This window comes from Homo sapiens, chromosome X (assembly GCF_000001405.40).
Source record: "Homo sapiens chromosome X, GRCh38.p14 Primary Assembly".
Taxonomy (NCBI): Eukaryota; Metazoa; Chordata; class Mammalia; order Primates; family Hominidae; genus Homo; species Homo sapiens.
Window position 1 is genome coordinate 76689323 of NC_000023.11, and position 25431 is coordinate 76714753.

The window sequence follows — 25431 nt, forward strand, 5'->3', positions numbered from 1 at the left end:
CAATTTCCTCCTATCACCTTCTGTCAGCTGTGTCTTTAATTTTATAGTTGTGTAATGATCCAAAATCATAATAAAATATTCCTTGCTATGTGTATAGGTTGAAAAATCAATAAACAACATGATTTACACTAGTATTAAAGAAAAATTGGGGCTGGGTATGATGGCTCTCTCCTGTAATCCCAGCACTTTGGGAGGCCGAGGCAGGTGGATCACGAGGTCAGGAGTTTGAGACCAGCCTGGCCAATATGGTGAAACCCCATCTCTACTAAAAATACAAAAATTAGCTTGACGTGGTGACACATGCTTGTAGTCCCAGCTGCTTGGGAGGCTGAGGCAGGAGAATTGCTTGAACCTGGGAGGTGGAGGTTGCAGTGAGCCAAGATCATGCCACTGCACTCCAGCCTGGGTGACAGAGTGAGACTCCATCAAAAAAGAAAAAGGAAAAAAAAGAAAAAGAAAAATTGGAAGATAAATATGAGGAAATCTAGAACAAAGAGGAAGATTGTGACAATAAATACATGAGATATTGAGAAACAATTCAAGATGCACAACATCCAACTTACAGGAGTTCAAGACAGGAGAGAAGAAAAGAATAAGGCAAAGAAAACTATCAAGAAATTATATAAGGTTATATAAGGTTTCTCATTGCTGAAATGGTTCAAATTGAAATGGCCTTTAGAGTGGTGACTGGAGTAAATAGGAAAAGACCCCGCAACATCGTGCATCTCAACAAAATTTTAGAACAAGAATAAGGAGGAACTGGTAAAAATAAAAATTCCAAAGTAGGGGACAGGGACAGATAACATGAGAGAAATGAAAATTAGACTATCATCATATCTGTTATTAGTAAGTTGCACAAGATTCTAGGAGACAAGTATGTAGGAGAGATTCTGCGAAGTAGAATTGTTGATGCATAGTCTTTGAATATTTAAAACTTTTGTAGGTACTATCAAATTATTCTCCTAAAATGCTTAAACAATTTATACTCCTAAAACCAGTGCATAACAATGTTCATTTCCCTTCATTCTCACTCACACTAAACAGTTATCAATTAAAAAAAATTTTTTTGCCTTAGCTTCAATATGACAGGTGATAATTATTTTAATTTGCATTTGTGTGATGAAATTCAGCTTTTAAAAAAGTATTGACAATTGTGTTCTTTTTATATTTTTCTATAGAGTTTATATAAATTGTATTATTGTTTAAAATACTTGGTATTCTTCTCAATGGGGATCCTCCCTAGAATGGGCTTATATTCTTGTCTCACAGACATCAGACTTGGCTATGTGACTACCATGGTCAATGGAATGCATTTGGACATGAAATATGGCACTTAGGAGAAAGGTTTAAGAAAACTTTTATAATTCACCAACTTTTCTCTGCCATAAGATTAGTAATGTCCTAGATAGAGGCTGTTTTCTCACCTAGAGTTTTAAAGTGAAGATGACAGACAGCAGGACCACAGCTGATCTGATAGAGACATGTAACCTGAGATGTAAATAAACATTTGTGGTTGTAAACTACAGGTATTTTTAGGCAATTTTTTTTACTCTAGTACAATTTAATGTAAGCTAAATGATACAGGGATGTTCATCTGTTATTTAATTAATTAGCAATAGATATTTTATACTAGATATATTCACCACTGTTTGTTGTATATGTTACAATTTTCAGTGTTTTGTATACATTTTAATTTTGTTTATTATATTTTATAATTCTTGTTATTCATTATGGGCTTTTAAGAAGTTTTACAGTATTTATATAGGCAAATCTGTCAATCATTTTTACTACAGTTTGTGGCTTTTATGCCATATTTAGGAAAAAATCTTTCCCCAAACCATGATTTTTAAAATCCTTATCAATATTTATTTTTAATACCTCTGGAGTTTCATTTTGTACATTTAAAATATTTAACTATTTGGTAAATTAATGTATTTCTAGTGGCCAGCTCATTGTTTCAATATCAATAAATTGTTAGTCTATCCTTTACCTAATAATTTAAAATATTTCCTGTGTTATATATTAAATTACATAAACTTGGACCTGTTTTAAACCTGTTATATGGTTTGGCTCTTCTGTCCCCATCCAAATCTCATTTTGAATTGTAATCCCCATGTGTCAAGGGGGGGACCTGATGGAATGTAATTGGATCACGGGGGCAGTTTTCCCCATGCTGTTCTCATGATAGTGAGGGAGTTCTCATGAGATCTGATGGTTTTAAAGTGTGGCACTTCCCCTTAGTTCCCTCTCTCTCTCTCCTGCCACCTTGTGAAGAAGATGCATGCTTCTGCTTTGCCTTTTGCCATAATTGTAAGTTTCCTGAGGCCTCCACAGCCGTGCCATACTGAGAGTCAATTAAAACTACTTGATTTGAAAATTATCCAGTCTCAGGTAGTATCTGTATAGCAGTGTGAAAATGAGCTAATGCACTCTGTCCCAGTGTTCTGTCAGACTATTTCTGTACTTATATTATTTTAATTACCATGGATTTATGTTTCAATATTTGGTAGGACTGTCCCTCATTATTTAAAATTTTTTCAGAATTGAACTACTATTTTTAAATGTTTCATTTATGCAGGTAGTATTTAGAAATATTTAATTACATAAAAATAGAATCTTTATCATGTCATTCCACTGCTTAAAATACTCAGTACTTTCCTCTTTATTATACCTTTTATGACTTGTCACAACAACCTCAGGTGAGAAATCAGAGTACATAGCGAAGTGAGCTTTGAATTCCCAGTGGTGCTATGGGAAGTGCTAACGTCATAACTGGAACCCATCTTTTACTTCCAGAGTACCCCAAAATGTATAGTGTATTCCAAAAAGTGAATGAACCTAGGGACTTCCTGATTTAATCTAATTATGGGGAAAGGAGCAAGTGAAGCAGATGAATGCTCCAGTCCTAGTCCCATAAACCAAATTGAACTTCCCATTTGTTATGACCCTGTAAACATATAAAAATCAAGCAGAAAAAACTAGATGGCACTCTAGGCTACTGGTTTTGGTATTGCTTTATTCTTCAAACAAAATTGCATGTACATATTCAATACACAAAAAAGAGACACTATTGAAATGTAGGAGTTTTCTGTGCCACTTTTGCTGAAACCCTAGCACTCCAGGAAATACAATTAGACAACTCAGTGTTCTGCAACCTCCCCAAGAGATCTTGATTCTAATCTGCTTGTTTAGCAAATCCCATCATCCCATCCCTTTGACATACGGACTTTTAATTTCTCTAGTGAGAACTCCCAGCCACTCAGAGATCTGCCTCCTTCCAACCTCTTAAATGGCTCAAGACTGGACCAGCCATACCTATTTTATTAGTGACAACTAAGGGGTAAGACTGGTTCCTTTATGATCACTGATGAGTGACGTCAGCTAAAGCAGAAAATCAGGTAGTCTACGTATGAAACCTCCCAATTTTCTCTTCTACTCTTCTCTTGCTCTCTTTTTCTTTCTCTTGTCATGGAGATTTTTTCAATATTTTTCTTTTGGTGGCAGTATTGCTCCACTGATAGAGCCATCTCTTTCTCCCACCTTTTGTTTTTGAAAAACACCTACAGTTGAAACAAGTATATTTCACTTGATAAGAGTATTTTTCATCTGGGATTTGCATCTAAGGGAGATTTTCCAGAACTTACCACTAATAATTCTCTGTCCAGGCTTTCTTGATTACATAGGAAAAGAAGATCAGACAGATTCCATGATCTACTTTCTGTTTCTTTTCTTCATGATTTTTTCTTTTTAATAACTTTTCTATAGCTGTAAAATATACACCAATCATTATATAAAATTTGAAAAACAGAAAATGTTAAAGACAAAAATAACATCATCATTTATCCCATAAACAAGAGAGAGCACTACTGTTAAAAATCTAAAGCAATCTCTCCAGTGAGTTTTCTTTGTGTACATTTTGATATAATTGTGATCACATTGTACACATAATTTAATTATCTGATTTTGTATTGTTTATATCTCATAAGCATGTTTACATATTCTTCTAAAATTGTTAAAAAGATTTTATAATTTAAAACTTTTAATTATATCATTTAATGCCTGTGGAATTATCTACCGTATAAATGAATCATCAGTTAATTGGGATTGCTTACAAAACGTTGGTATTTTAAATAATACCAACATAGATTGCTTATAAAACATTATTATTTTAAATAATATATAAATAATATTTCTATAAACTAAGTAAACTGAGTGCTTTCTTACTTGAATTTCAGGCAAAATGCATCCCTGGAAAAAGAAAGACTGGTTGACCCAAGTATCCACCTAATTGGAGAATGCCAATCTGTGAGGTATTTTATCATTTAGTCTCCACAACTCACCCATTTAAGGAAGAGAAGAAATTCCTGTAGAGCTTTTCCTGAGCACAAAAATTTTGATCATTTTTTCTCTCAATTATGATCTATTCTGAAACAAACTAGCTGTGAATTTTTGAAATTGGTTTACCCAGGGCTGTGATAAAATTGTGCCTTTCTAAAATGGTCCAAATCCATGGAATTGGCAACCTTGCACATATTTTTAAACAAAATTACTCTTCTCCTAGCCAAGAAAACCTATCCTCCAGAACCAAAGAATTTTTGATGATGAGGGTCACCTTAAATAATGAGATACATGCATACATCATTTTATTGCTTTTCACTTTATTGCAATTCACAAATATTGCTTTCAGGTTTGTGGCAACCATGTACCAAGAAAGTCTATCATTGTCATTTTTACAACACCATGTATTCGCTTATTGTTTCTTTGCTACAATTTGGTAATTCTCAAAATATTTCCAACTTTTTCATTATTATTGTGTCTGTTGTGGTAATCTGTAACCAGTGATCTTTGCTGTTACTGTTGTAATTTTTTTTTTTTCTTTTCAGGCAGAGTCTTGTTCTCTCTCCCAGGCTGGAGTGCAGTTGCGTGATCTCAGCTGACTGCAAACTCTGCCTCCTGAGCTCAAGCAATTCTCCTGTCTCAGCTTCCTGAGTAGCTGGTATTACAGGTGACCCCCATCATGATTGGCTAATTTTTGTATTATTAGTAGAGATGAGGTTTCACCATGTTGGCTAGGCTGATCACAAAATCCTGACCTCAGATGATACACCCTCCTTGGCCTGCCAAAGAGCTGGGGTTACAGGTGCGAGTCACCATGCCCAGACTGTTGTAGTTGTTTTGAGGTGCTATGAACCACGCTCATATAAGATGGCGAACTTAATACATTTTGTGTGTGTTCTGACTGCTCCACTGACCAGTCATTCCTCCATCTCTCTCTCTATTCCTCAGGCTTCTCTATTTGCTGAGACACAACAATATTTAAATTAAATCAGCTAGTAACCCTAAAATGGCCTCTAAGTGTTCATGTGAAAGAGTCATACCTTTATCATTTTAAATCAAAAGCTAGAAATAATTACATTTACTGAGACTAATCAGCTTACTGAAAGTAACCTCATCGAAAGGTGAGAAAAGCCAAACTAGGCTTTTTGAGCCAAACAGTTAACCAAGGTGTGAATACAGAAGAAAAAGTCTTAAAATAAATTTAAAATGCTACTCCAGTGAACACAAGAATGATACGAAAGTAAAACAGTCTTATTGCTAACAAGAATTAAGCTTTACTGGTCTGGATAGAAGATCAAACAAGTCACAACATTCCCTTAAAACAAAGCCTAAACCAGAGCAAGGCCCTAACTCTCTTCAACTCTGTGAAGGTGGTGAGTGTTAAGAAAGCTGCAGAAGAAAACTTTGAAACTAGCAGAGGTTGGTTTATTAGATTTAAAGGAAGAGGCCATCTCCATAACATGAAAGTGAAAGGTGAAGCAACAAGTGCTGATGTGGAAGCTACAGCAAGGTATCCAGAATATCTAGCTAAGATCATTGAAGAAGGTGGATACACTAAACAACCCTGTCAATTTAAAGAAAACTGCCTTCTATTGGAAGAAGATGCCAGGACATTCACAACTGGAGACAACTCAATTCCAGTCTTCAAAGCTGTAACAAAACAGACTGACTCTTGTTAGGAGCTAAAGCAGCTGGTGACTTTAAATTGAAGCCAATGGTCATTCACTATTCCAAAAATCCTAGGGCTCTTAAGAAATATACTAATTTTACTCTACAAATTAGAAAACCTAGATGAAATGAATACATTCCTGGATACATATAATCTATCAAGATTAAACTATAAAGAAATAGAAAATGGAATAGACCAGTAATGAGTAATCCAATTGAAACAGTAACAAAATGTGTCCCAATAACAAGAGAAAACTATACTCAGGACTGACTTTAATGTTATATTCTACCAAACTTTGAAAAAAGAACTAACAGCTATTCTACTCAAACTATTTCAAAAACTTGAAGAGGAGGGAATTCTTTGTAACTCAATCTATAAGGCTAGCCTTATCCTGATATTAAAATTAGACAAGAGCACAATAAAAAAAGAAAACTACATATCCCTGATGAAAATAAATGCAAAGGTTGTCAGCAAAATACTAGCAAATTGAATTCAACAATACATCAGAAAGATAATACAATATGATCAAGTATGATTTATTCCAGGAATGCAAGGATGGTTCAACATATACAATTTAATGTGATACATCACATCAACAAAATTAAAGACAAAAATTATAAGATTATCTCAATAGACACCAAAAAAGTATTTGATAATACTCAACAATGGAGAAAGGGGGAGTTAGATGGTGGGATGAAAAGCTCCATTGATCGTTCCCCCTGCTGGCATACAATTTTAACAAATATCTGCACAGAAAAAAGTAACTTCCCTAAGAAACAAAAATCAGGTGAGCCCTCACAGTACCTTGTTTTGTCTTTGTATCACTGAAAAAGGCACTAAAGAGATAGAAAAAAAAGTGTTAAGTTACAAATTCCACCTCTCTCTCCCACACCCCATGCAGCAGTGGCTTGGTGCAGAGATCATCACTGAATGCTGAGGGAGGGAGAACACAGCAAGTGTGAGGCACTGAACTCAGTCCTGTCTTGTTAGAGGAGAAAACAAATCCAGACTAAACTTAGCTGACACCCACCCATGGAGAGAGCATTTAAACCAACCCTAGCCAGAGGAGAATTACGAATCCCAGCAGACCAAACTTGAGTTTTCACAAACCTCATTATTATGGACTACAGTGCTCTGTGTCTCTAAATGAACTTGAAAGACAATCTGGGCTATAAGGACTGCAACTCTTCGGTGAGTCATATTGCTGAACTAGGCCTAGAGAAAGTGGACTGGAGGGACACATAACCTACTGAGACATCAGTTAATGTGGTTAAGAGAGTGCTGGCATTACCCCTCCCCTAAATCCAGGGTGCACAGCTCACAGCTACAAAAAAGACCCCTTCCTTCCACTTGAGGAGAGGAGAGGGAAGAATGGGGTAATCTTTGCCTTCATCTTGGCTATCAGCTCAGCTGCAGCCAGATATGGCACTGATAAGAGAGTGCTGAGGCTCCTGTTTTAGTCCCCAGATCCCAGGAAACAATTCCAGATAAACAGTGGGCCAGAAGGAAGCACACTTCTTTGGAGGAAATAACCCAGCCCTGGCAACATTCATCACCTGTTAACTGAAAAGTCTTTAGTCCCTGAATAACCGGCAGCAACATAGCCAAGTACTATGTCAAGGGCCTTCAGTAAGCCTCTGAGACTTGCTGGCTTCAAGTGACACTCAATGATTACCAGCTGTGGTGGCTACAGGGCAAAATTTCTGCTTGAGAAAAGTATAGGAAAAAGTAAAGGGGACTTTGTCTTGCAACTTAGGCTCTAGCAAGACCACCAGGTGGTAGAGCAACAAGCAACATCTTTGGATCCCCGGTTTTAGAACTCGGCCCTTGGACAGTATTTCTGGACATGCCCTAGGCCAGAGGGGAGCCCTCTGCCTTGTGGGTGAGTCTCAAGTCAGTCAGCATTTACAACAAGCTGACTTAAGAGACCTTGGGGATAAGGGAACATAAGCAGTAGTCTGGCAGTACTCTTCATGGCCTGGGGTGGTGGTAACTATGGGGTGAGGCGTCTCTGCCTTTGGAAAGGGGAGGGAAGAGTGGGAAAGGCTGCATCCTGTGATTTGACTGACAGCTCAGCCACAGTACAATAGAACACAAAGTGGATTTCTAAGGTTTTTTACTCTAGTCCCTGAATCTTGTATAAAAGCTCTGAACCCACCTGGAGCTTGGGGGACCTCACAACTCTGGAGGGAAGAACACAAGCCTGGCTGGTTTTGCCACTGGTTGATTCTAGAGCCCCAGGGCCTAGAGAAAACATAGGCATTAGCAAGAAAGCGCTTACAGCAGGCCTTGGGTGAGACCCAGTGCTGTTCTGGCTTCAGGTCTGACCCAGTACAATCATAGTGATTGTGGTCACAGAGAGGCTTGTGTCACTTCATCCCAGATTTAGGTGGCTCAGAACAGAGACAGAAATTCTTTTGGTTTGAAGAAAGTAAGAGAAGAAAATAAGAGTCCTCATCTGGTAATCCAGAGAAATCCCCTAGAGTTTTTCCAAGACCATCAAGGTGATACCTCTGGGAGTCTGCAAGAACCACAATGTTATTGGGCTTGGAGCACCCCCTAAAGCAGATACTGCTTAGATCACAACACCCAAGTTCTTTGAAATATCTGGAAAGCCTTCCCAAGAAGGATGAGTACAAATAAGCCCAGACAGTGAAGGCCACAATAAATACCTAACTCTTCAATGCCTGGATACTGATGAGCATCTACTGACATCAACAACATCCAGGAAAACATTATCTCACCAAATGAATACTTAAAGCACCAGGGACTTATCCTGGAGAAAGAGATATGTGATTTTTCAAACAGGAAGTACAAAATAGCTGTGTTGAGGAAAATCAAAGAAATTTAAGATATCAAAAACAAGGAATTTACAATTCTATCAGATAAATTTAACAGAGGTTGAAATAATTAAAGATAACCAAGCAGAAATTTTAGAGCTGGAAAATGCAAGTGGCATACTGAAAAATACACCAAAGTCCTTAAATAGCAGAATTGTTCAAAGCAAAAAAAAGAAATAAGGAGTTGAACAATCAGAACACATGGACACAGGGAGGGGAACATCACACACCGGGGCCTGTCGGGGGTGGGGGGAGCTAGAGGAGGAATAGCATTAGAAGAAATACCTAATGTAGATGACAGGTTCATGGGTGCAAGAAACAACCATGGCATGTGTATACCTACATAACAAACCTGCACATTCTGCACATGTATCCCAGAATTTAAGTATATAATGAGCTTGGAAACAGGCTACTTAAGGATACACATGAAAAAGAATAAATACTTAAAAAACAATGAAACATGACTACAGGATTTAGAATATAGCCTCAAAAGGAAAATTTTTTGGCCTTAGAGTTATTGGCTTTAAAATGGAGGTAGAGAAAGACATAGGGGTAGAAAGTTTATTTTAAAGAATAATAACAAAGAACTTTCCAAACCTGGAGAAAGATATCAATACTCAAGGAAAAAAAAAAAAAAAGGTTACAGAACACCAAGCAGGTTTAACCCAAGAAAGACTCCCTCAGGGCTTTTAATAATCAATCTCTGAAAGGTCAAGGATAAAGAAAGATTTCTAAAAGCAGCAAGAGAAAAGAAACAAGTAACACACAATAGAGCTCCAATACATCTGGCAGCAAACTTTTCAGTGGGAACCTTACAGGACAGACAAGAATGGCATGACATATTTAAAGTGCTGAAGGAAACAAAACTATTACCTTAGAATGGTATGTCTAGCAAATATATTATTCAAATGAGAAAGAGAAATAAAGACATTGTCAGACAAATGAAAACTGAAGGATTTTGTTAACACCAGTCCTGTCCTAAAAGAAATGATAAAGAGAGTCATTCGGTCAGAGGGAAAAGGAGATTAATGAGCAATAAGAAATTACCTGAAGGTAGAAAACTCACTGGTAATGGTAGGTACACAGAAAAACACAGAATATCATAACACTGTAACTGTCGTGTGTAAACTACTCTTATCCAAAGTAGAAAGACGAAAGAAAAGAATCAAAGTAATAACTACAACAACTTTTCAAGACATAGTACATTAAGATATGACTAGAAACAAAAAAAGATAAAAACTGAGGGTAGAAAGTTAAAGCATAGAGTTTTTATTAATTTTTTTTGCTTGTTTGTTTATGCAAACAATTTCAAGTTGTTATCAGGTTAAAATAATGGATTGTAAGGTAGTATTTGCAAGCTTCATTGTAACCTCAAACCAAAAAGCATACAATGGAGACACAAAAAATAAAAAGCAAGAAACTAAATCATGTCATCAGAGAAAATCACCTCTACTAAAAGAAGATAAGAAAGAAAGAAAGAAGAAAGAGATGACCATAAAAAAAGAAAACAAATAACAAAATGGCAGGAGTAAGTCCTTACTTAATAATAACATTGAATGTAAATGGGCTAACCACTCAAACTGAAAGATATTGATTAGCTGGAATAAAAAAAAGACCCATTGATCTGTTGCCTACAAAAATAAAAAAACGGAACACATTTCACCTAGGAAGACAAACAGACTGAAAATAAATGAATGGAAACAATATTCCAAGCCAATGGAAACCAAAAAGGAGCAGAAGTTGCTTTACTTATATCAGGGAAAATAGATGTTAAGATGAAAACTATAAGAAGAGACAGGAAGGTCAGTATATAATGAAAAAGGTGTCAGTTCAGCAAAGGCATACAACAATTTTAAATATATAAACACCTGACACCGGAGCTACAAGATGTTAAATCAGATTTAGCCTAAAACCACCTCCTTACATAGTTAGGTTCAGCCTAAAGGTATTTTTGCACATTGTGAACTATAACAAGTGGAGGTGTAAACAGACAGTAGTCTACACTTGTGCCAGTCAGCGAGTTTTGGCCAATCAATGTAGCCAACTGTTTGAACCTTGTTCAGATAAGGCAAAAGCCAAGCTGTAACCAATCCAGCTGTTTCTGTACCTCACTTCCATTTTCTGTATGTCACTTTCCTTTTTCTATCCATAAATCTTCTTCCATCATGTGGCTCCACTGCAGTCTCTGAGCCTACTGTGGCTCAGAAGGCTGACCGATTTGTGAATCATCCATTGCTCAATTAAACTCCTTTACATTTAATTGAACTGAAGTATTTCTTTTATCAGAGATATATAAAGGAAATACTATTAGAGATAAAGAGAGAGAGAAGCCCCAATACAATAATAGCTGGAGACTTCAACACCCAACTGTCAGCATTGGACACAACTTCCAGACAGAAAATCAATAAAGAAACATCAGACTTAGTCTTAACTATAAATTAAATGGATCTAATAGACATTTACAGAACATTTTATCCAACGGCTGCAAAATACACATTCTTTTTTTCAGCACATAAATTATTCTCAAGAATAGACTATATGTTAGATCACAAAACAAGTCTAAAAATATTCAAAAACTGAAATAATATCAAATATCTTCTCTTACTACAAGGAACTAAAACTAGATATTAATAACAAGAGACATTTTGGAAACTATACAAATACATGGAAATTAAACAATATGCTCCTGAATGACATGTGGATCAATGATGAAATTAAGACAGAAACTGAAAAATTTCTTGAAACATATGCTAATGGAAACACAAAATTCCAAAACTTATGAGATACACCAAAAGCAGTACTAAGATGGAAGTTTATAGCTATAAGTGCCTACAAGAAAAAAGAGGAAAACATTCAAATAAACAATTTAACAATGCATCTTAAAGAACTAGAAATGCAAGAGCAAATCAAAACCAAAATTAGTAGAAGAAAAGTAGTAATAAAGATCAGAGCTGAAAGTAATTAAATTGAAATGAAGACAACAATACAAAAGATCAATGAAATGAAAAGTTATTTTTTGGAAAGTTAAACAAAATTGACAAAATGTTACATAGACTGACTAATAAAAAAGGAGATAAAAATAAATAAAATCAGAAAAGAAGAAGGAGACGTTACAACTGATACCACAGAAATTCAAAAAATTATTAGTAGCTACTGAGCAACTATGTTCTAATAAATTGGAAAATCTAGAAGAAATGGACAAATTTCTAGGCACATAAAACTTACCAAAGTTGAACCAGGGAGAAATTCAGAACCTTAACATATCAATAACAAGTAACAAAATCGAAGCCATGATAAAATTCCCCCAGTTGAGAAAAGCCCAGGACCCTAAAGCTTCACTGTTGAATTCTACCAAACACTTAAAGAAGAACTAATACCAACCCTACTCAACCTCTCCCAAAAGAATAGAGGAAGAAGGAATACTTCCAAACTCATTCCATGAGGCCATTGTTACCCAGATTCCAAAACCAGACAAAGATACATCAAAAAAAGAGAAAACAACAGGCCAATATCTCTAATCAATATTTATGCAAAAATCCTCAACAAAATACTAGCAAATTGCATTCAACAATACTTAGAAAGGTCATCCATTATCCAAGTTGGGTTTATCCATGGGATACAATGGTGGTTCAACATAGAAATAATGTGATACATCATACCAACAGAGTGAAGGATAAAAGCCATATGATCATTTCAATTAATGCTGAAATAACATAACTTTTCTTCATGAGAAAAACCCTCAAAATACTGGAGATAAAAGAAACATACCTCAGCATAACAGAACCCTATACAACAAACCCACAATTAGTATCATACTGAATAAGGAAAAACTGAAAGAAAGCCTTTCCTAAAAAATGACAAGGATGCCCACTGTCACCACTGTTATTCAGCATTGTACTGGAAGTCCTAGCTAGAGCAATTAGACAAGAGAAAGATATAAAAGACATCCAAATTGGAAAAAAAGAAGTCCAATTATCCTTGTTTGCAGATGATATAGCTCATATTTGGAGAAACCTTAAGACTACAAAAAAAAAACTATTAGAACCAATAAACAAATTCAGTAAAGTTGCAGGAAACAAAACCACCATATAAAAATCAGTACTTCTATATGCAAACAACGAACAATCTAAATAAGAAATTCAAAAAGTAATCCCAAATACAATAGCTACACATAACATTAAATACCTAGCAATTAACTAAAGAAGTGAAAGACCTCTATAATAAAAACTATAAAACATTGATGACAGAAATTGAATACCAAATATAGAAAAATAGTCCATGTTCACAGATTGAAAGAATCAATATTGTTAAAATGTCCATTCTACCCAAAGCAGCCTCCATATTCAGTGCAATCCCTATCAAAATACCAATGGCATTCTTCACAGAAATAGAAAAAGTAATTCTAAAATATATACAAAACCACAAAAGACCCAGAGTAGCAAAAGTTATCCTAATCAGAAAGAACAAAACTGGATGAATCACACTACCTGACTTCAAATTATGCTACACAGCTCTAGTAACCAAAATAGTACAGTATTGGCATAAAAACAGACACATAGACCAATGGAAGAGAATAGAGAACCCAGAAATGAATTCACTCACGTACAGTGAACTCATTTTAAACAAAGGTGCAAATAACATACACTACAGACAGTCTCTTCAATAAATGATGCTGGGGAAACTGGATATCCACATGCAGATAAATAAAACTTGACCCCTCTCTTTCAGCACCATATACAAAAATCAAATCAAAGTGGTTTAAAGACTTAAATCTAAGACTTCAAACTATGAAACTACTTCAAGAAAACATTAGGAAAAACCTCCAGGACATTGGTCTGGGCAAAGATTTCTTGAGCTGTACCTCACAAACACAAGCAACCAAAGCAAAGATGGACAAATAGGATCACATCAAGTTCATCAATTTCTGCACAGGAAAGAATAGAAACAACAAAGTAAAAAGACAACCCACTGAATTAAAAAAAAACTATTTGCAAACCAGCCATCTGGCAAGGGATTAATAACCAGAATATATAAAAAGCTCAAACAACTTTATGGAAAAGAGTTTAATAATCTGATTTTTAAAAATGGGCGAGTGATTTGAGTATGTCTCAAAAGAAGACATATAAATCGAAACAAGCATATGAAAAGGTGCTCAACATCATTGATTGTCAGAGAAATACGAATCAAAACTACAATGACATATTGTCTTACTCCAGTTAAAATGGCTTATATTCAACAGATAGGCAATAACAAGGGCTGGATAAGATGTGGAGAAAAGGGAACACTTGCACACTGTCAGTGGAAATGTATATTAGTACAACCACTATATAGAACAGTTTATGGACTCCTCAAAAATTACAAATTGAAATAACATATGACCCAGCAATTCTGATGCTGGGTCACACCCAAAATAAAGGACATTAGTGTATCAAAGAGATGTCTGCACTCCTATGTTTGTTGCAGCACTATGTACAATAACTAAGATTTGGAAGCAACTTAAGTGTCCATCAACAGGCAAATGGATAAAGAAAATATGGTGCATATACACGATGGAGTACTATTTAGCCATAAAAAGGTGACATACAGTTATTTGCAACAATATGGATGAAACTGGAGATCATTATGTTAAGTGAAATATGCCAGGAAGAGAAAGACGAACATCATATGTTCACACTTAGTTATGGAATCTAAATTTAAAAAAATGAATTAGTGGGCATAGAGAGTAGAAGAATCGTTACCAGAAGCTGGCAAGTGTAGTGGAGGGGCTGAGGAAAAGTGGGGATGGTTAATGGGTACAAAAAAAGTTGGTTAGAATGAATGAATAAGACCTACTGTTTGATAGCACAACCGAGTGACTATAGTAAATTATAACTTAATTGTACATTTAAAAATAACTTAAAGATTACAATTGGATTGTTTGTAATTCAAAGGAAAATGATTGAGGTGATGAATACCCCATTCTCCGTGATGTGCTTATTTCACATTGCATGCCTGTATCAAAACGTCTTAAGTACCCCATAAATATATACACCTACTGTGTACCCACAAAAATTAAAAATAATAAAAAATAAAACTGAACTATGCTTCATGATAAAAACTCTTGTTAAATTAGTTGTAGAAAGAGCATACATCATCACAATAATAACCATAACATACCTCATCACAATAATGACCATATATGATAAACACACAGCAAACATCATAATGAATGGGGAAAACCTGAATGTGTTTCCCCTAAGAACTGGGCAACTATGCTCACTTTCACTAGTCTTATTCTACATAGTACTGGAAGTCCTAGCCAAAGCAATTAGGTAAGAGAAGTAAATAAATGACATTCAAATTGGGAAAGAGAAAGTCAAAAGGTTTCTCTTTGAAGATGACTTGATCTTATAAGTAGAAAAACCTAAAGACTCCACCCAAATTCCCTTAGAACTAATACACAAATTCACTGAAGTGGCAGGATAGAGAATCAACATACAAAAGTCAGTAGTGCATTTACATAACAATAATAAATCAGCTGAAAAGATTTCATGAAACCAGTCCCTAAAAGGGACAGCTACAAAAATAATAAAATGCCTAGGAATAAGGTTAAAAAAAAGGTGAAATATTTCTACAATAAAAATTTTAAAACATAGGTGAAATAAATTGAAGAGGACACAAACAAATGGAAAGTCATTCTATGTACATGAATTAGAAGAATTAATATTATTAACATGGCCATACTACCCAAAGCGATCTACAGATTGAATGCAATCCCTATGAAATCACCAAAGAAAATTTTCACATAAATAGAAAAACCATTCTAAAATTTGTATGGAACCAGGAAAGACCCCAAATAGCCAAAGCAATGTTAAGCAAAAAGAAAAAAAGCTAGATGCATCACACTATCTCACTTCATAATATCTTACTACACAATAGTAAGCAAATAGCATGGTATTGATATAAAAGCAGACACATAGTTCAATGGAAAAGAATAGAGAACCCAGAAATTAATCCACACATTTATGGCCAGCTCATTTTCAACAAAGGTGCCAAGAACATACATTGGGGAAAGAATACCCTCTTCAATAAATGGTGCTAGGAAAACTGGATATTCATATGCACAATAATGCAACTAGATCATTGTCTCCTACCAAAATCAACTTAAAATAGATAAAAGACTAAAACGTAAAACCCAAAACTATACAACTACTAGAAGAAACCTTTGAAGAAAGGCTTCTTGATGTTGGTCTAGGCAAATATTTTATGGGTAAGTTTTCAAAAACACAGGCAACAAAAACAAAAATATGTAAATGAGACTATATCAAAATAAAAACCTTCTGTACAGCAAAGAAAACAATAAACAGAGTGAAGAGACAACCTGTAAAATGGGAGAAGATATTTGCAAACTATTCATCCAACAGGGACCTAATAGCCAAGCTATACAAAAAACTCAAACAACTGAACAGCTAAAACATAAACAATGGCCAAAATATCTGAATATACATTTTTTCTTAAAAATATAAACAAATGGCCAAATGTATGTAAAATGATCAACATCACTAATCATCAGGAAAATGCAAATCAAAACTACAATGACATGTCATCTCATCCGACTTAGAATGACTATTATCAAAAGCACAAAAACTTACAAATGCTGGGGAAGATGCATAAAAAAGAAAACTCATACACTGTTTGTGGTTGTATTAGACAATTATGGGTTGCTATGAAGGCATACCTGAGACTGGATAACTTATAAAGAAAATCATTTGGCTTATAGTTCTGCAGGTTGTACAAGCATGGAACCAGCATATGAAGCTTCTGGTGAGACCTCAGGGAGCTTTTAGTCATAGAAGAAGGTGGACAGGGAGCCAGCATGCCACACGGTGAAAAAGGGAGCAAGACAAATGCCAGCCTTTTTTTTTTTTTGAGATGGAGTCTCTCTCTGTCGCCAGGCTGCAGTGCAGTGGCATGATCCCATTTCACTGCAATCTCCACCTCCCGGGTTCAAGCAATTCTCCTGCCTCAGCCTCCCAAGTGGCTGGGACTACAGGCATGCACCACCACGCCCAGCTAATTTTTTTTGTATTTTAGTAGAGATGGGGTTTCACCATGTTGGCCCAGATGGTCTGGATCTCCTGACCTCGTGATCTTCCCCCCTGAGCCTCCCAAAGTGCTGGGATTACAAGCGTGAGCCACCGCGCCCGGCCATGCCAGCCTCCTTTAAACAACCAGCTGTCATGTCAACTGATAGAGTGAGAACCCACTCATTAGCATGAGGACAGCACCAAGGCATTCATGAGGGATACACCCCCAAGACAAAATCACCCCCTGCCAGACCACATCTCCAACATTGGGGATCACATTTTAACATGAGATTTGGAGGGGATAAACATCCAAACTGTATCAGTGAGAATGTGACTTAATCCAGCTATTGTGAAAAATAGTATAGAAGTTTTTCAAAAAACTAAAATATAAGTACCTTACAGCCCAGCAATTCCACTGCTGGGTATTTATTCAAAGGAAAGGAAATCAGTATATGCTTATTGCAGTTTATTCACAATAGGCAAGATATAGGCTCAATATATATCTATTAAATGATGAATTGATAAAGAAAACATGGTATGTATACACAATGAAATATTATTCACCCATAAAAAGGATAAAATCCTGTCATTCAGAGCAACATACATAAATCTGTAAGACATTATGTTAAATGATAATTATAAATGCCTATCAATGATGGACTAGATTAAAAAAAAAGTGGTACGTATACACCATGGAATATTATGCAGCCAAAAAAGAAAAAGATCAATTCCTTTGCAGGGACATGGGTGGAACTGGAGGACATTATCCTCAGCAAACTAACACAGGAAGAGAAAACCAAATACTGCATGTTCTCACTTATAAGTGGGAACTAAATGGTGAGAACACATGGGCACATAAGGGAGAACAATACACACTGGAAGCTTTTGGAAGTTGGAGGGTGAGAGGAGGGAGATAATCAGAAAGAATAACTAATGGGTACTAGGCTTAATACCTAGGTAATGAAATAATCTGTATAACAAACCCCCATGACACAAGTTTACCTGTATAACAAACCTGCACTTGTATCCCTGAACTTAAAATAAAAGTTAAAAAAAAGAATTATAAATACCACATATTCTCACTCATATGTGGAAGCTAAAAAGTATTGAGCTCATAGTAGAGAGGAGAATTGTTCTTAGAGCCTAGAAATAATCGAGAAAGGAAAGGATAGGGAGAGGTTGATTAACATATACAAAGTTACTGCTAAATGGGAAGAATAAGTTGTAATGTTCTGTAGCACTGTGAGGTAAATATAGTTAACCAAAATTTAGTGTATGTTTTCATAAAGCTAGAAGAGGGTATTTTCAATGTTCACAACAGAAAGAAATGATAAATATTCAAGGTGATGGATATGCTAATTATCCTGATTTGATCCTTACACATTATATATTACACATGTATCAAAATCTCACTCTGTATCCCATAAATAGGCACTGTTGTTAGATGTCAACTAAAAATAAAAGGAAAATATTGTATGACATTGTATTGCTTTATTTGCTTTATTGCTTTGGTCTGGAACTGAACCCACAATTCTTAGAGGCATGTTTTTATCAGCTACCAGGTGCTTGGCACCTGGGGCTGGCATAGCTAATCAGAAAATTCAATCCATTCTAGGAGAGCTGAGGGAGTTTGCTTGGGATTTTTTCCCCCTGATTTAATACCCTAAAAGTTGTCAAAAAGTTACCATTCTGTCTCCAACTCCACCAGTTATAATGATCCACCTGGTCTTCCATCACTCTTCAATGTCCAGGTCATGAATTTCCAATCATTTAGCCATAGCCAGATAACCATCTCAGACAGAGATGGAAGAATAGCTATTAAAGGAAGTATAGGATGCCACTAGTGCCATAGCCAATTGTGACACCTGGGATGAGTTTAACCTAGAAGAGTAACCATGGGACTCCAAATATCACTTAAATAATGGCCCAGAATGCATCAGAGCATTCCAACATGCAAATGAATACCAAATCACTTCAGTCCCTGGTCCACTTCTCAGTTCCAGCTCTAACTCAGTCTTCCTGTGCTTTTAATTGGTGCAGAACCCATCACTCCTAGATCATAGCTGATATATATTCAGAGCTTCTATTACTAAGTACAGGTTCTCCTTGACATATAATGGGTTTATGTCCTGCTAAACCCATTGTATATGCCCATTGTAAGCTAAAAGTATTATGTCAAAAAATCATTTGCTAAACCAAACCGATCAAATATCATAGCTTAGCCTAGCCTATCTTAAATGTACTCAGAACACTTACATTAGCCTACACTTGGAGAAAATCATCCAAAACAAAATGTATTTTGAAATAGAGTGTTAAATATCTCATATAATTTATTGAATACTCTGCTGAAAGTAAGAAACAGAATGGTTGTATGAGTACTCAAAGTACAGTTTCTACTGAATGTGTATCACTTTCATACTATTGTAAAGTAAAAAAAAATCATAAATCAAATCACTGTAAGTCACGGGCCATCTACATATTTTGGGAAAGTCTCTTCATTTCTTCATATCATACTTGCCTGAAAAGTAGGCCATTATTTATTAAACTCCTATCTTCCTTCCTATTATTCCTTCAAATAAGCTCACTGATTTCTTTGTGTTTTAGGTATATTAACCATTGACAAATAGATGAAGGAAACAAAAATAGCAAATATGGGCATTGAGAAAAGTTTAAGATTCTGACAAAATTACAGATATGCTAGTTTAGTCCTTCTGAATGCTTTTCTATCAATGCCATTTAAAACTTCATTGTACATTTATTTTTTTCCCTCAAACCTTCACCCCATCTCAAATACTCATTTTCTCTCTAGATTATATAGACTATTTTTTCATGAAGATCCACCTTTCTAGACATTAAGTCTGAGGACACAGTAAAGTATAATGATTTAAAAGACATGTTTACAGACTGATCTCAAATTCCAGCTCAGTCATTTAATGTCTATGTGGATTTGCACAATACACTTCTCAATTTGTGTACCAGTAAAACACAGAGGGTAAACTATACTACTTTTACATTTTTTTACATGTGTTAAATTTGGCAGTGTGAACTGGTATCATCAATAAAGTCTGAAATGTCAGAAATGGAGAGTGAAATAGTCCACAAAAGCCTAAAAAAAAGTTTTGGAGAAAATAAAAAACTCTTCATTACATTACCCATATCATCGGACATCTAAAGCCTTCTTGATTTGCTTCTCCCATTATTATTCTATTTATTTCAAATGTTGTATTTCTGAACAAATATGTAAATATAAGAATGCTAAAGATAATCAATACAAAAACTGAGAGCTAGCACAGCCCCTATCATGGAAGGAAAGAACAGTGCTGCCGCAGATGAAGGCTGAAAAGAGTCTTCAAGTTTCAAAGTCTGGCTTCAGTTTCTCCAAGAATTTATAAATTCTTTCTAGGCAAAGTTTTGAGTGAGTCCCAGGAAACAGGCTCATCGAAGTGAGGATATATGCCAGAGCAGTAATGTGGGTCTGGTACTGGACATCTGACAAATATGATGGAGGGGTGGGCTAATCTATATTTTTTTCAGTCTAAAACCACCATGGTCAATCTACCTCTCTCAGGAGCAGATCAAAGCAAAACACTTTACTTGAGATGCATTAGTCAGGGTAGACCAGTGACTGCAATAAACAAAATTTTGATAGTTTATCACGATAAAATTTTATTTTAAACACATCACAGTACAATGTGTGGAGGCAGGGTGAGCATTCTCTGCCACCATCCTTAGTTGATTTATAGAACATAAAAGGGAAAATAGGAACTTCATCAACACATGATCTAGGAAAACCAAGTACCTCAGAAGAATCTGAGCCAGACCCTCCAATGAATTTTGTCCTCAGATTATAAAAATAAATAATATCATCCCAGCAGGAATCTTGTTAATGTCTGTTCTGAACCACATTGTGCCAGTCTAAATTGGTTGCCTTCAATACTCAGTGCAAAGCAAAGATCTCCCTTTACCATTTTCCTGGGGATTCCTTCTGACTCTTTCATGCATTAGATTCTAGTTTCCTGCATCCTATGCTTTTCTATTTTATTATTTACTACCTAATTTTGGTAGAGTACAACTTCTAGTTTCTACGTGAAAAATGGTACACAGTAGGTGAAGTTTTTAAAACTTCATGTATGAGTTTGCTAGGGCTGCCATAATAAAGTACCACAAACTGAGTGGCTTAAACAACATACATTATTGTCTCACAGTTATAGAGGCTAGGAGTTCAAAATCAAGGGGTTGGCAGGTTTTGTTCCTTCTGAGGGTTGTGATGGAGAAACTGTTTGATATCTCTCTTCTATCTTCTGGTGGGTTGCTTAAAATCCTTTGCATTCCTTGGCTTGTAGACACACCATTCCAGTCTCTACTTTTATCTTTGCATGGCAGTCTCAATATGTGTGTGTCTATATAAATTTTCCCTTTTAATAAGGATCCCAGTCATATTAGATTAAGGGTCCACCCTACTTCAGTATGACCTCATTTTAACTAACTACAGCTGCAACAACCCTACTTCCAAATAAGGTCATGTCCTAAGATACTGGGATTCAGGACTTCAACAGGTGAATTTTAGGGAGACACAATTCAATGCATAGCAAGTCAGATGTATGAAAATATTTTCATTCCAAACTAAAATTTGACTGGTCATAAAATTCAATGTCAGAAATAAATTTTCTTCAGATTTGGAAAATATTGCCTCATTGTTGTCTAGCTTGCTTGCTCAGTAAACTTCTTGCTTATTGAGAAATCTAATAATTTGGCACTCATGAGTGGTTTTCTCCAGCTCAAATTGTGGCAGATTGCAGAAGTCCAAAAGAGGTAAGCGTGTGGGTTCAAAAAGCAACGTGCCTGTCAATTTTTCTTCATATTCTTAGTGTTTCAAGTTCCAATAGAACAAGGGGAGTTTGGGTTGGGTGTGGGAGAAATGAGTGTGCAAGTTGGGTAAGGTGAAACTTCTGAGTAAAGATAGCAGATTGAACACATTCTAATTAGTGATTTTTAAATATATAACCTGTTTATATCTTTCTGGAAGCTTTTATATATTTTCTTTGCTGTAAGCACTCTGAAGTCCTATAAGAACATTACTTGGTGTGGATCTATTTTTGTCCATTTTCCTAGGCACTCTGTAGGCTTTCTCAGTCTAGAAACTTACACGTTTTAGTCCTGAGTTTTTTTTTAAGTTTTTTTGATAATTGAATCATTTCTCTGTTTTCATTTTCACAGTTTTTTTCCTCTGTAACTCCTATTATAAGAATGTTGTATCTTCTGAATTTTTCTTTAATTTTGCCCATCTTTTCTCTCCTGTATCCTATTTTCTGTTGTTTTCTTCCATTTCCTGGGAGATTTCTTCAACCATCTTCAAAAATTTGTATCAAGTTTTAAAATTTTTACTGTTTTTAAGTTCCAAGAGTCTTTTTTGTTCTCTGAATATTCCATTTTTTTAATATCCTGTTCTTATCTGTTCATAATTCTCCCTACATAATCTCTGTTTGCTTTAAATTGCATTTTCCATTAGTCTCCTTGGTTGTCTTACAGTTTTTAGTTGACTGCTCTTGCCTTTAAGCTAAGAATCTCTGAGTTTTCATTAAGAACTTATTGACTGTGGACTTCATTTTAAGCTGTTAGTATGATTATATCTTTCTTTTAAAGATGGTCAGATGGCACCCACATTACATTTCCAGCTTCCCAGCTGAAAGGCATAGGCCTATGTGCTAGCTTTCTGGGAACCCAGAAAAGGAAGAAGACTTGAAGGAGGTAGTCTCAGATGGCTTCAACGTTCCTGTCCTTAACGATGCCTGTTTTCCTTCAGTCAAGTTACTTTTTGCTTTACCTTCTCCAGTAAATAAATGCTTAGATTTCTGCCAAGGTGGAAAAATAAGGTAGCCCAGCAACATGGATCTGGGGGTGCAGGAGGGAAGAATCTAGGATCCAAACCTGCTTGCTAAAAATCCTTCAACCAATAATTTTTATTTCAACCTCCTTTATAGTAGATATTAGGGCAATATAACAATAATCCAGTTTTTCTTATTAGAAGCATATGGTAGGATTTCACTTTTGCATTCCCTTTGGATGTTAAGTACACCATGTGACTTGTTTTGACTATTAAATGTGAGCAGATGACAAGTGACATTTCTAGGCAGAAGGTTTAAAAGTGAGTGTGTGATTTTCCATGTTATTTTTTCTCCACTATGGTAGTCACAGAAGTATGTTTTAATATGGATCCACCATAAGCCTGACTGTGTATGTTTTACATTAGATAACTAGTATGAGCAATAGATATATCTTTTTGTTTTAAGCCTGAGATTCTGGGATTGTTTGTTACTACAGTAAAACTTAGCCTATTGTAACTGACTCCCTTTAATCTTTACTTTTGATTTAACTATTGTCATATCACCATTCCTGAGCTTTTTGAGGGTAAGTATAAAATGTGTTCTCAGCTCTTCTCTATTTCTAATACCCCTGTATTGTGTTTTCTTAGGCATATTTATTTGGTTGTAATGTATCCATCTGCACTCTGGCTGACAAAATTTAGTGACTTCTCTCTCTATTTTTATTCCTCCCCTGCTTGTAGGTTTTTTTCCTTCAAAAGTATTACATTTCTCCAATATTATTGAGGTTTCAAGAGATAATGAAATTAGATGTGTGTGTGTTCAATCTGCTATCTTTACTCAGAAGTTTCACCTTACCCAACTTGCACACTCATTTCTCCCACACCCACCCCAAACTCCCCTTGTTCTATTGGAACTTGAAACACTAAGAATATGAAGAAAAATTGACAGACACGTTGCTTTTTGAAACCACACCTTTACCTCTTTTGGACTTCTGCCATCTGCCACAATTTGAGCTGGAGAAAACCACTCCTGAGTGCCAAAGGTTACCACCCAAATCACTGTATACCTCTTGATTCAGACAAACAAAATTGTACTCTTGTGAGTGAATATAATTACACCAACAATAATAATCCTGTATTTTTCTATGTTACTCTACAACTTACCAAACAGCTTTGTATTCATTATCATAGTTGAAACTCAACACCTTTCTGATATTCTGATTCAAATATTAAATTTATACTTGAGGAGGGAGACAAGAATGAACAAACTGAAAAAAAAGATGTACTTTTTGTGTTGTGGGAAATAATGACAAAAATGCCAGGGTCTTCAAGATAACAATCAGATATTTGTTTAGTAGGCAGTGGCCAGGATCAGTGTTATAAATGATGGTATATAAGTTTGTTTTGTTTTCTTATTCTCAAGAAAGGTATAGTCTGGTAAGTGTCTGTGCTTAGCATGAAGGATCTAGGGCTTGAATGTACTTACCATACTAAAGTATAATTGACATCCTCTCCTGAAAATACTTACCTTAGCTCTTGGGTCTGGCATCAACCTACAAAGAATAGAGCCAATCAAGTACTATGTGTCCTGTAGAGTTTTTGATTTCCTTGTGGCCACAGTTCTGGCACAAGCTTATGTTTTCCCTGAGATTCCTTAGGCCCTTTGTTAATACACATTGAGATTCTCCATGTTTTGGCTCCTCAGGAAGTCAGGCAGTAGTTTTTAAGATATGGGGAATGTATGAGGTCAGGAGAAGTATTTGGCAGCTTTGGGGATCTGTGTTTCCACTACTAAGGTATAACCTGAAAGACAAGGGCTGTAGAAAAGGCAGCTGAGGATAACCTCTCTAAGGCCCTAAGGAGCTCTTGCCTGGGCTTCAGAAAATCTGAGTCCTAGACTATGCTTAGTTACTAACACCCTGTGTGACCTTCGGCATACAACTTCACCTCCCCGAGCCTCTTGGTTCTAAAAGCCCTTCTGGCTCAATTATTCTGTAATTCATGAAAGCTTAATAGTACTGGGAATTGTCTTGCTCAGGGTGATAATGGTTTGAGCAAAGAAATGAATAGGCTGAGTAAAGTGCCACCTTCCCAGTGGATATAAAATGCTTTCTGAATTAAATGCATATCTCCTAAAGCAATTCTTTTTTATTATTATTATACTTTAAGTTTTAGGGTACATGTACACAATGTGCAGGTTAGTTACATATGTATACATGTGCCATGTTGTTGTGCTGCACCCATCAACTCATCATTTAACATTAGGTATATCTCCTAATGCTATCCCTCCCCCCTCCCCCCACCCCACAACAGGCCCCAGAGTGTGATGTTCCCCTTCCTGTGTCCATGTGTTCTCATTGTTCAATTCCCAGCTATGAGTGAGAACATGCGGTGTTTGGTATTTTGTCCTTGAGATAGTTTGCTGAGAATGATGGTTTCCAGCTTCATCCATGTCCCTACAAAGGACATGAACTCATCATTTTTAATGGCTGCATAGTATTCCATGGTGTATATGTGCCATATTTTCTTACTCCAGTCTATCATTGTTGGACATTTGGGTTGGTTTCAAGTCTTTGCTATTGTGAATAGTGCCACAATAAACATACTTGTGCATGTGTCTTTATAACAGCATGATTTATAATCCTTTGGGTATATACCCAGTAATGGGATGGCTGGGTCAAATGGTATTTCTAG

The 25431-nt window shown here is 35.8% G+C and overlaps 1 long non-coding RNA gene across 7 annotated transcripts in view; it reads right to left on the reverse strand.

The window, feature by feature from the left end:
* The window catches only part of MIR325HG (MIR325 host gene), a 356735-nt gene that overhangs the window by 31525 nt on the left and 299779 nt on the right, over window positions 1-25431 (reverse strand). For 3 of the 7 annotated variants that reach the window (NR_110400.2, NR_110403.2, NR_110402.2), the window contains one exon: window positions 3645-3765. The exons of the other annotated variants lie outside the window; for them this stretch is intronic. This is a non-coding gene — a long non-coding RNA (MIR325 host gene). The remainder of the gene's footprint in view (window positions 1-3644; window positions 3766-25431) is intronic. 7 annotated transcript variants of the gene reach the window in all.